This window comes from Homo sapiens, chromosome 1 (genome assembly GCF_000001405.40).
Source record: "Homo sapiens chromosome 1, GRCh38.p14 Primary Assembly".
NCBI classification, from domain to species: domain Eukaryota; kingdom Metazoa; phylum Chordata; class Mammalia; order Primates; family Hominidae; genus Homo; species Homo sapiens.
The window spans coordinates 94,922,813-94,935,250 of NC_000001.11; the positions used below are offsets into that span (position 1 = coordinate 94,922,813).

A 12,438-nucleotide genomic window follows, 5' to 3' on the forward strand; every position below is an offset into this window, starting at 1 on the left:
ACCAAAGATTTTGGTAATAAGCCTTTCAAGAAGGTTTTTAGGTGTTGAGAAATACCATTTTGTAATCAAGAAGATCCCGTGGGAAGCTGCTTTGCTCAAATCAGACATTCCAAGGGGGCAGAAGACTGGAAGAATGTGCATTCCAATTCCATGCTTCTTAATATTCCAGTTAGCTTCCTCCCAAAAAAACATACCGAGGTAAGATTATTTCAGCTCCCCATTTGTCAATTTATTTTTTCCACTTTCCCTGAGACCTGTAAGAAAGGTTCCTGCGGCATTTGCTCTAAACCTGATGAAGACATGCTTCACTGCGTCCTCTCTTCCCATCCAACTTTACGGGAAACTACCCCCAACTCCAACATTTTGCCAGGAAATACTGTGCTTCCCTTGAGTACCTGTTATGTTTTTTCATGGTTTACGAGGCACAGAGTTGTTTCACTTTTCATTTTGGTTCCCAAGATGCATTCAAGGGCCTGGTTCAACCTGTAGAATACCTGTAGGGCCCATTATTTTATGAGTGTTTCCATCCTCCACCGAACCATCCCTACCAGTGTCTGCATTTTCCCTGGCCCTTTTACTCTCTGATAGTTTTTGTAAACTCTAAGTTATTGATCATTTGGTGTCATTTTTTTCTTTGTTATTAAAGAAACTTTGTTCATATTCCAGGCTGAAAGACTGGAATTCTTAGGCTTTTTTTTTTTAAGGCTGTTTTCACACATCTTCTTGCCTATTAAAAAAAGTAAGCTTGTGTGTTCTGCCATGTATTATCATCTTACCAATCAAATGTCTTAAAGATTTTTCTCTGAAATTTTACTGATTAAAGTATTTAAAATCAGAGACTTCCTCAATTCATTGATGAAATGCTTTTACAGCTAGAATATTATATAACAAGACCAAAAGGTATTAATACAAACCAAATACTTAAAGAGGCAGGGACATACAAATCTTAGAAATATAATACTAAAAACTAATTTTCTGTTACTAAGAGCTAATAGCTACAATACAGTCACTGAGTTGAGTATAAGCCAGACACATCTCCACAACATGGTGTCTGGGGGTGGCAACTATTGTTTTCCCCCATTCTACAGAACAGAAGCTAGGAGAGAGATGTCAAGTAGCTAGCCCAGCATCACAGAAGGCAGGAAGTGGCAGAACGGGGACTAGAACTCACATATGCTAGACTCCCAGGTCCACTCCACACTGTCTCCCCAGGATGTTTCTATACTTCTTTGTTAAATGAGATGTGGGGGTAGATGGGGGGAATCTAGCATTCAAGCAATGTATCAATTATGCAATAAAGAAAAAGCAGGAAGGAATCAAAAGGTGTCAAACCACGCAATGTCACTTTTGTATATACCCACCTTTCACCCGGGAGTCCTGAGGCCTCAGTCAAAATGCAGCATCTCATACAAAGGCCTAGCAAACATGGCTATTTGATTCCCAGGCCCAGAACAGATCAGAAACAGTATGACATAAATAATCACAATGTCAAGAAGTGACAGGTGGGTAGCAAAAATGGGAGGAAGGGCTGGGCGCCATGGCTCACGCCTGTAATCCCAGCATTTTGGAAGGCCAAGGCAGGGGGAATCACCTGAGGTCAGGAGTTGGAGACCAGCCTGGCCAACATGGCAAAACCCTGTCTCTACTAAATAATACAAACATTAGCCGGGCATGGTGGCAGGCACCTGTAATCCCAGCTACTCGGGGCGCTGAGGCAGGAGAATCACTTGAACCTGGGAGGCGAAGGTTGCAGTGAGCTGAGATCGCGCCACTGCACTCCAGCCTGGGCGACAGAGCAAGACTCCGTCTCAAAAAAGAAAGAAAAAAAAATGGGGGGAAGGCGACAGACAGCAGAGTTTGTGTAGAACATCCCTAAGTACTTCACTCAACTAAGACATCGCTTTTAGAGTTAAAATTCTTAGAATAGTCCAACTTCTGTGACCTTGAGCAAATCTTTCTGAGCTTCAGTGTACTGATCTGTAAATGATGTTGGATAATCCCAGCAATCCTCCTCACCTTACAGGACTGCTCTGCTGTTAAGATCAAAAGACTTCCTATGAAAGAATACTGTCTGAAAGGACTACAAAAATGAAACGGGTTATTAAAAAATGGGTTTGGTGCTTAAAGGGATAAATCCACAGCTTTCATAACTAACTTTCCAAAGGTTCTAAAAACTGAGGTTTTACCGTTTTTAAATATTTACAATAATTACAGTGATCTAGCCTGTGTATGCATTTCCTTGGATCTGCTCAGTATTAAGCAGGAAAAGGGCAAAAGCTGCTACATTAGTCAGCAAAAAAGAAATTAGCATGGATATTATTAACATCCAAGAAAAGTAAGTCACTTGAAGGGCTGCCAACGTTATCAGTACCTCATTTACAATGCAAAAGGTAGTAGAGACTCAACTGCTGCCAGCCAAGAATCACTGGGGGGAATTACAATGAATGTGCACAACCAGGCCAAAGTATCACATCACATCCAACATTTTGGACATGCCCATTCCTCTGAAGTTTCCTAAAGTTCGGTTTGTAAATCCTGGAAGGAAGGAAACAGTAACTTGTTACAAACTTTTCAGTTGGTGAGGTTTGCACTCAATCATACACAAACCATTCACCTTTCTGCTCTCTAAAAAAATTGTTAGCAAACTGTTGTCTAATACGGGCAACACGTTTGAAAAGGTAAAGGACCTAAACATTTCAACTTTAGATACATAGACTAAAATCAACTCCTTGCTTCAAAGACAGTATGATGTGCAGACTAACAGCGGGAGACAAGAGCCACAACTCTCCCTTGGGGTTTGACAACGGTGCGCTTCATTACCTCTTTACATAATTCGCTTCACACCGCCTACCCCCGCAGCCCCGGGATGTTCCAGCTCTGACAATGCCAGTGCCTTCCACCAGCGGTCGGACGGTGCGGTGGCAATCCTGACATGCTTGGGCTCCCGGGAGGTTAATGGGAATTAAACCACAGGCAGCCCTCCTTTGTGGCGCTTTGGCCAGAACAGCAGAAAGGAGACAATGAGCGTTCTGTGCACAGTTCCGCGCCGATTGGCTGGTCTCTCCCCCCAGAAACCCCTGATGTCATGGGCTTGGAATGCAGGGAGGGAGGAAGGAAGGAGAGGATTTGGGGAGGGGGACGCCTCTCATCTCTTTCCCAGGCCAAAAGTCCTAAAGATAAACCTAACGCATTCTTGGGCTCAGTGGCAAAGCTGAGCGTCACCAAATCCCAATCGCTCCAAACTATAAGCCGCCTCAGCAAACAAGCCCCAAACAAAAGCAACCCACAAAAATAATCCTTTATGTCGTGAAAGTCTAATGTACTTCAAACTTCTCAGTGTTTCATAAAAAGTCTCAAGCCTAAGCAGATATCACTCGCACAGTGGCGCGCTCAGGCTTTGTCTCCATTTCCCGCAAAAGCAACAGCAGAAGCAGCAGCAGCAATCTGCCTCCAAATGCCTCCCAGGCACCGAGATCGGAGACTGTGATGGGTCCCGGACCGGCTTCCGTTCCTCGGGGCCCCTGGGGTCGGCGGGACATTAGGCGGTCTCTCTCCCCGTGGGGAGGCGCGGAGTCCGCCAGCACCCGGGGCCCGGGCAGATGGCGGGGGCTGCGGCAGCGGCTCGCCGGGTCCCTGGCCGCGCAGACGGGCTCCGCCTAAGGGCGAGTGGCCACGCAGGAGCGCCCCCTTCCCGGAGGGCGCGTTCTGCAGTCACCAAACGGCCCCCGAGACCCCCGCAGCCGGAAAGGCTGGCGCCGCGGGACTCCAGGCGCCCGGGAACCCACCGCCAGCCACTAGTCCTGTCCCACGGCGCGGGAACAAAGCCAGGCGGGTGCCCGGGAGCCGGCCCCGCAAGCCCGGGGACTGGACGCGACCGGGACAGGCAGAGACGCTCGCGCCGCCTCGACGGCCCCTCTCCAGGAAAACGGTGAGCCACAGCGCGAAGAGCAAACGAAGCACGGCCCAGCGCCAGGCCAGCCCAAGGGTGCCCCGGGGGCCCCCGCGCCCGCCCGAGCCAGGCGTACCTTGTTCTTGACTTCGGCCGAGAGCCCATAGGAAGGGCCCTTGTTGAAGTGGGTCATGGTGGTTCGGGCGGCGGGAAGAGACAGCGCTGGGGTCCGGGGTCTCTCGCACTTCGCTTCCCCGCTCCTGGCCCCGAGGAGTGGCCGCCGCGGGGGATGCTCGAACTCCCTCCTCTGGGAGGCGCAGGAGACGGCCGCGGGGCGCGGGCGGTGCCTGGGCGACTGGGTCCAACTGGGTGCTACAGAGCCTCGAGCTCCGCTGCGAAGCACCCGGCTGCCTCGCTCGCCGCCCGCACCTCGGTTCCCCACAGGCCGCCCCCGCCTCCGCCTGGGCCTTCGAGGATTGGCCGCCGGGCCCGACCAATGGAGGGCCGCCTCCTCCCGCCTCTGCGCCGAGGGGCGGTGCGGCCAATTGAAGGGCCGCGGGGGCCGCTTTCCCTCCCGCTCCCTCCCCGCGAGGTCCCCGGCCCCCGCCCCAGCCCTCACGCCACCGGGGCCGGCGGCTAGGCGGCCCCGCCCCCGGGCTAGGCAGGGCGCCTGGGGGCTTCCCAGCCACAGGCCATTCACGTCAACCTCCAGGCATCCTCCGCGGCGGGCCGGACCGGGCCGGCGGAGGGGAGCGGAAGCCCACCGGGGCTGGCCCGCCGCTGACCCGCCGCCTCCGTCTGCCTCCTCCCGGGCTCTGGGCCCAGCGCGCCCAGATGCCGGGCAGGACCCCTCCGCCCGCTGCTGGAACACCAATAGCAGCGTTGGAGCCTCTGGGCCGGAGGAACTGGGGCCTCCACCGACACCTGCTTCTTCCCTCACCTCGCAGCCTTCCACACCTGTTGATCTGACCTCTGCCCCGCTGCCGCCCAGGAGTAACCTAAGGCTTTTGGCCTGATTCGAGCTCACTCCGTCTAAACCTCTAAATGCGGTGCGAAAAAATCCTGGGGAATGTGCCATGCAAAGCCTGGGCATTTCAAGTGCTTTTCTGGATTCGCATCAACTCCTCTTTACAGGCATCTTTATCCGGAATTCAGCTCGTCCCAAACCCCACGTGGTGTAGCTCTGCTTGTGTTTTTGAATCCCGGGGCCTCTTTGAATCAGAAGCCCTTTGTATAGAGATAAGTATCCTTTAGGCCAGAATCAGCCTCCATTTTTTTCGCAGTCCCATTTCCTACCCGTAATACTTTCTTCTGATTTTAAAGCCATTTGATAGAGAAGGGACAGGGAACAGAACCTTCGCCCCCCGCCTGAGCAGCTGGTAGACTAGATATCTTCCAAACATTATCTCATTTACTTCCCTGGAGTTACAAATAGGTAGATTTCATGTCCGTTGAGGGGTGAGAAAGCTGAAACTTTGAGACTTAAGAATCCTGGCCGAGGTCAGCCTCCTCCGAAGCTTCATCTCTTGCCACCACTTTCTGGTGCACACCTAGGACAGATTTCAATCCCTGAGATCCCAGGATGAAACCTATGTTTGCCAAATACCAGCTACTGTGCCAGAAGAGATCATGGAACCAGGTGTGGAAAGCTGCTTGAGAAGAGGAGCCAAAACATCATAGTTGAACCGTCCTGGAATAGAAGTGAGTAAGGTGAACCAGGTGTGGTGGCTCATGCCTGTAATCCTAGCACTTTGGGAGACCGAGGTGGGAGGATTGCTTGAGGCCTGGAGTTCAGGAACATCCTGGGCAACATAGCAAGATCCTGTCTCTACAAAAAATCCAAAGTTTTTTTAAATTAAAAAAAAAAAGTGAGTAAGGCAGCTTGAACCGGAAATGCACAAAACTGCTATCCAGTTTGCAAGGCTTTTCCCAATGACTTTGAGGGATGGAACCTGAAGGAAGCGGGAGGAGGCAAATAGGGAGGAAAGTGAAATGATTTATAAATGACTTGCTAATTTTGTCCAAAGGGAGTAATGATAATTAGGGCATTCTTCCCACACGAAGATGACACAATTGACCCAATATCATTGAGGCTAACAGTTTGGGCTGTTTTTCCAGTAGTATGACAGTGACGGTGTGTCAACCGCAGGACCTCACCCACATTTCTTTGGGACCTAGGAGTGTGGGAAATAGCAGCCAGATTTGAGGTACAAATCATGGTGTCCAGCCTGCAAAGCCTTTTTGCAGCAATCTAAGCCTGACTGCTCCTGTTGTATGCTCAAAGTCATTTTAATCTACTTTAGCTTATTGTAAAATGTTCAAGAATTGTATTTTGTCTTGAAAACCATGAATTTTATTGTTTAGGGGGAGTTATTTTTTAAGGAGTGCAGGATTTCAGTTTTGGATGATGAAAAAGTTTTGAAGATGGGTAGTGACAGTGGTCACACAACATTGTAAATGTACTTAATGCCATTGTACACTTACGTGACTTTAAAGTAAACATGAAATTTTCTACATTTGTTTGTTTGATCAACTGTTATCCTCCCTAAGGTACTTGAAGTTCTTTCTGACATTGCCACTGGAACTTACTATTTAAATATTGTTGGTCCTCTTGGATTCCATCAGTACTCCAGAGACTTCCTTCGTTTCTAATTTAACTCATTGTGTAAGAATACGTAATGCTGTTGTTAGCACTAGGGAATGTATCTGAGTCTCATGCACCAAAGTGTGTTAGCAGCAGCAAATCTGTATGGGTCTGCAGCAACCTCAATTCTTGCCTCCTCCAAAGAAAGAATTCTACCGAGAGGCATAAGGCAGAGGGAGAGGCCAAGGCACGTTTTAGAGCAGGAGTGAAAGTTAGAGCAAGAATGAAACGAAGTAATGTACACTTGGAAGAGGGCCAGGCGGGCAACTTGAGAGATTCAAGTGCGCTGCTTGACCTTTGACTTGGGGTTTTATACATTGGCATGCTTCCAGGGGGTTGTGTCCCTTTTCCCCTGATTCTTCCCTTGAGGTGGGCTGTCTGCATGTGCAGTGGCCTGCCAGCACTTGGGAGGGACCACATGCTCAGTGTGTTAACTGAGGTTGTACGCATGCTCACTTGAGGCATTCTTCGCTTACTAGTCAAGTGTTCCTAGAAGAAGGTCATATATGAGTACCAGTTAAATGCCACCATTTTGCCTCTTAGTTCACACCTGTGAGCCCACTCAGCCAACTCCTAAGATCCTATCCAGAAGCTGCTGATCACCAGTTGTAGGTATTTTCTAGCCATTGGGAGACTGCCTTTCCCTGGTGCCGGCTGTGACCAGTTATTATTTTAGAGAGACAGTTTAACAACTGCCTGACCACCTGATGGTTGCGTGACATTCCTGGTGGGAGCGGGGAGCCCTCTCCTGCTCTGCTTGTGTCTGACTACCTACTGTGGCACTATAGAATCAAATGAGAAAAACTTAAAATTTGGGACAATTTTAACAGCTTTATTGAAGTATATTGATATAACAAAGTATATTTAAAGTGTTCAGTTTGATACACACATATACACATAGATACACCTATTTAAAAACCCATCACCACAACAGACAAAGGACATATTCATCATACCCAAAAGTTTCCTCATGTAGCCCCTCCCTCCCAGTCTTCCTTACCTCTCCACCCCACCAGGCAACCCCTGATATGCTTTATGTAACTATACATTAATTTGTATTTCCTAGAATTTTATATAATTGGAATCACACATTGTATATTCTGTTTTATCTGGCTTCTTTCACTCAGCAAAATTATTACGAGATTCACTGACGTTGTAGCATGTATCATTAGTTCATTCCTTTTATTACTGAGTAGTATTCAACTGTAGGGATACACCAGTGATTTTACCCATTCCCTTATTGATGAACATTTTGGTTGTTTCTAGATTTTGGCTATTGCAAATAAAGCTGCTATGAACATTCATGTACAAGTCTTTGTATGGACATATGCTTTAATTTCTCTCCCATAAATACCTATAAATGGAATGGCTGGATCAAGTGAAAGATGTATATTTCACTTTTTAAGAAACTGCAAACTTTTTCCAAAATGATTGTACCATTTTACATTCCCACCAGTGCGTATGAGAGTTCCAGTTCCTCTGCTTCCTCACCAACAGTTGGTAGGTCAGTTTTTTTAAATTTAGTCATTCTTATAGATGTGGAGTATGGTATCTCATTATGGTTTTAATTTGAATTCCCTTAATACGTAATGATGTTGGGCTTCTTTTCATGTATTTATTTGCCATCTGTGTATCTTTTTCATGAAATGTTTGTTCAGATCTTTTGCCTATTTTTATTGGATTGTGTGTTTTCTTATTATGGTATTTAACTTGTCACTGTTAGGATACATTTCAAAAATCCTGACCAAGTTCTAACAGTAGAATGTGTCAGTAAATGCTCAGTTTAAGTAAAATGTCACATTGCAAACTAACTACCAGGGTGTGGCCCAGCAATCTTAAGTACTTTCCCTGGAAGTTTCTGTAATATGCAGAACACTTTCAATTGAAATAAATGCTGTTAAGGAGGTCAACTCAACCTTTCCAAATTTTTATTAATTAAAAGCAGTTGTTGGAGAGTTGTAGAAAAGTATTTTTTCACAGAGGCAAATTTGTGGGTCATATTGCCATACATCTTGCCACGAAAATAATAACATAAAGTGTTTTGAAGAATTCACCCTGTAAATCTGTCAGAGGCATGTGAACCAAAGCAACTCCATCTTGAATAGGGGCTAGGTAAAATAAGGCTGAGACCTGCTAGGCTGCATTCCCAGACGGTTAAGGCATTCTAAGTCACAGAATGAGTTAGGAGGTCAGCACAAGGTACAGGTCATAAAGACTTTGCTGATAAAACAGGTTTCAGTAAAGAAGCCAGCCAAAACCCACCAAAACCAAAATGGCGGCAAGAATGACCTCTGGTCGTCCTCACTGCTACACTCCCACCAGCGCCATGACAGTTTGCAAATGCCATGGCAACATCAGGAAGTTGCCCTATATGATCTAAAAAAAGGAGGCATGAATAAGCCACCCCTTGTTTAGCGTATCATCAAGAAATAACTATAAATAAGGGCAACCGGCAGCCCAAGGGGCTGCTCAGTCTGGAGTAGCCATTTTTTTATTCCTCCTAATAAACTTGCTTTCACTTTACAGACTCGCCCTGAATTCTTTCTTGTGTGAAATCCAAGAGCCCTCTCTTGGGGTTGGATCGGGACCCTGTTCCTGTAACAAGTCCACAATGCCAGAGAATTAAAGAGAACCACAAAGGTATGGATCAGTTATGGTAAAGGCAGAAGGGACCCTAAAAGGCTCAGAGGCTAAGGGACTTTTAAGCACCTGCTATGTGCTAAGCACTATTAGAGGCACATAACAGGCAGTGAGATCAAAATTCATCACCCAAATAGGGGCATTTTTGAGAGTGAAAGGGCACTATTAATATTTTTTTGTTTCAGGCAGTCCTGATAAAGCCCCTTCATAGTGTGCTCATTTCACCCTCAAAAGTGTCCCGTTGAGATGCTAAATCACAGTCACCCCACTTATAGGCATCACTTGCAATAACCCTATAATAATCAATATTATCTATTCCTACTTTATAATCAAAAACTAAGGTTTAGTATGGTACACAACTCGGTCAATATCAAACAGTTAACAGAGAGCAGAGTTGGGATTTGAAACCAGGCCTGGTTTAGAATGATTGCTCAAAAACCAACTTCCCAGACTCCTGAAGAATCTGAAGTCACCCTTTTTTGAGGGGGGCAAGGGGGGATGCTTTATGGAATTTATTATAAAAATGCCCCTGGCCTGGTGCAGTGGCTCACACCTGTAATCCCAGCTCTTTGGGAGGCAAGCGGATCACATGAGGCCAGGACTTCGAGACCAGCCTGGGCAACATGGTGAAACCCCGTCTCTACTAAAAATACAAAAATTAGCCGGCAGGGTGGCACACACCTGTAGTCATAGCTACTCAGGAGGCTGAGGCGAGAGAATTGCTTGAACCCAGAGGTGCAGATTGCAGTGAGCCAAGATTGCACCACTGCACTCCAGACTGGGAGACTGCACTCCAGCAGAGTGAGACTCTGTCTTAAAAAAAAAAGCTCCTATCCTTTACATCTTTTTCTTTATAATAACAACTTTGTATTGGATTTGGCAGTGATCCTTTGTTGTTGCCCATCTTCATTTGAAATCAGTTTTTCCAAAACACATGTGAGCAGCCGAATAGAAGAGATGCATAGGATGAGGTATGGGAGAAGGGGAGCAGAACTGCCACGGCCTCTCTGTCACGCCCCACTTCAGGAACCTTCATGGGTTCAGCTACCTGGAAGCTCCCTGAAATTGCTCTTGTAAGGTACATTTGCTCCTTTTTCCCCTCCCTTTGGAGAGTGCTCACCAGTTACTCCAGGTGATACTATTAGTACATCCATCGTGTGCCACCTTTTCCACCAGAGGCAAGCATGTGGCGGACGTTTCAAAGGGATTACCTTATCCCCCACTAGGCCAAGTACTGGGCTCAAGGAGGCACATGACCCAAACAAGGTCCACCGGAGTTCTTTATGATAAACAGATATGGAAGCTGAAAACGAAGTCAAACCGACTTAGACAAAAAGTGGACTTTAGTGGTTCATGTGACATACAAGTCAAGGAGATGTAGCATTGGGCATGGCTAGAGTCAAGGACTCAGTCAAAGGCATGACAAACCAGGGTGTCTCCACATACCTTTTCTCTTCTGCTAACTCCCTCAGCCCTACCCACCAGGGGAGAAATTTACCACTGAAAGGTCCAGGTTTACATCCTAATCTTCTAAGTGAAAAACTTCCCAATGGTTCTAACAAAAGTCCCAGAATTGAGCCTCACTGTCACCTACATATTTCCATGCTAATCACTGCAGCTACCAGGAGGAAGGCACTGCTGGCAGGCCTGGGTATGTGCCTAAAGTAGGTGTGGAGGTAAGTTGGCAGCTCGGCCAGCACCACAGGAGCTGAGAGAGGGAAGACGCACAACCCCAAAGGAAAATGGGGGAAGAGATGCTGGCGAGGCAAATAAAGATGATGCCCACTGCACAAGCTCTTCTCTCTCCAGTCTGTATTGCAAGGCCGCTCACTTCCATGGCCTCTTTAGAGTCCCACACTTGATTTTTTATCCGTTGTTTTTTATTTTATTTTTTTTATCTCGAGGGTTCCTAAACTTGTAAAAGCTTCAGATCCCTCAAAATCTGAAGGTATCCTACAAGAGAGTCACCCAGAATATCTACCTCCCTCTTCTCAATTTAGGAACCAAGTGTTGTCAGTTGCTCAACTACATTGCCTTTCGTCCACTCCCAACAGCTTGAAACTGAGGTTCTTATTGCCACAAAATGGCATCCTGCCCCTAGCCTTTTTCTCCTGATTCATCTCCAAAGCCTTACAGCAGGGCAGTTCCTTTAAAAATTAAAAACACTATTACCATAGACCTCTAGGAATATACCCAACCTAACTGAAAGCAGGGTCTGAAAGAAATGCTTGTATACCTTTGTCCACCAAGATGTGGAAGCAACCTGTGTCCATCAGTGGGTGAATGAGAAAACTAGAAGTGGTATATACATGCAATGGAATATTATTTCCTTAAAAAGGAAAAAATTCTGACATATACTGTAACAAAGATGAACGCTGAGAACATTATGCTAACTGAAATAAACCAGTCACAACAGGATAAATACGGTGTGATTCCATTCTACTATACTATATGGTATTCCGAATACTGCATGATTCAGCTAGAGGATGAAGAGACCAGGTAGTGGGGAGTTACCATTTAATAGCTACAGAGCTTCAGTTTTGCAAGATGAAAAAAGTTCTATGGTGGTGATGGTAGCACAACAGTGTGAATATACTTAATGCCACTGAACTGTTCACTGAAAAATGGTTAAGATAATAATTTTTATGTGTATTTCACCACACTTTTTAAAAATCTGATGCCTCAATAGCTTTTCTAAATATGCATGGGATCATAACTACCTTACTTAAAAGTCTAGTGGCTCTTCATTTGGCCACGGGCCAAGCCCAAGCTCTTTGACTTACAGAGTCGCTATAATGATAATTTTTAAAAATCATGTATGCAAAGCACTTAATTATGCCCCAGTGCCTGACACAGGGTAATTTCTCAATCATTGGGTGTTATTAGCATGCTTATTACTAAGACTATTATCTGGCCTCTCCCTGCCTCTCCAATCTTGTCTTCTGTCACTTCCAACCTTGTGCTTTAATTCTAGAAACAGCCCTGAATTGGCCACGCTGTTTCACACTTAGGTATCTTTGAATACGTTGTTTTCTCTGCTTCTATTTGTTAACATTTATCCTTCAAAATTGGATTCAGATATCACCTTTCCCAGAAGGCTTCCTTGTCTCACAAACCTCCGTGAGATTTATTCAGCCCCTTTTCTATTTGTCCTTTCTATTTTGTAAATGTTCCTATTGTTGCTGCTGACACAGTGTCATGTAATTTATTTGTTTACATGCCCCTTTCTAGACTGAGAGTAGATTTAGGGCAGGAAACTATGTCT

At 46.1% G+C, this 12,438-nt stretch overlaps 1 protein-coding gene and 1 long non-coding RNA gene across 8 annotated transcripts in view, besides 2 other annotated features; one reads left to right on the plus strand and one right to left on the minus strand.

The window, feature by feature from the left end:
- CNN3 (calponin 3) overlaps positions 1–4,298 on the minus strand; it is a 30,154-nt gene extending 25,856 nt beyond the window's left edge. For 2 of the 5 annotated variants that reach the window (NM_001286055.2, NM_001839.5), the window contains exon 1: positions 4,026–4,298. In NM_001286055.2, the coding sequence (NP_001272984.1) occupies positions 4,026–4,082 (57 nt within the window). In that variant the 5' untranslated portion in view covers positions 4,083–4,298. Of the gene's footprint in view, positions 1–55; positions 2,536–2,820; positions 2,958–4,025 lie in introns of those variants that run through there. The other 3 variants (NM_001286056.2, XM_047444486.1, XM_047444480.1) reach the window with 2 other exon arrangements.
- Positions 3,406–3,835: a silencer, noted in NCBI's record as "silent region_1101". NCBI's record gives its function as "represses an Ori minimal core promoter by ATAC-STARR-seq in GM12878 lymphoblastoid cells {active_cell/tissue: GM12878}" and the evidence as "EXISTENCE:reporter gene assay evidence [ECO:0000049][PMID:35858748]".
- CNN3-DT (CNN3 divergent transcript) overlaps positions 3,548–12,438 on the plus strand; it is a 36,911-nt gene continuing 28,020 nt past the window's right edge. For 2 of the 3 annotated variants that reach the window (NR_168376.1, NR_168377.1), the window contains exons 1-2: positions 3,548–3,928; positions 9,060–9,173. This is a non-coding gene — a long non-coding RNA (CNN3 divergent transcript). Of the gene's footprint in view, positions 3,929–5,215; positions 5,591–9,059; positions 9,174–12,438 lie in introns of those variants that run through there. The other variant, NR_033998.1, reaches the window with a different exon arrangement.
- Positions 3,936–4,815: a silencer, noted in NCBI's record as "silent region_1102". NCBI's record gives its function as "represses an Ori minimal core promoter by ATAC-STARR-seq in GM12878 lymphoblastoid cells {active_cell/tissue: GM12878}" and the evidence as "EXISTENCE:reporter gene assay evidence [ECO:0000049][PMID:35858748]".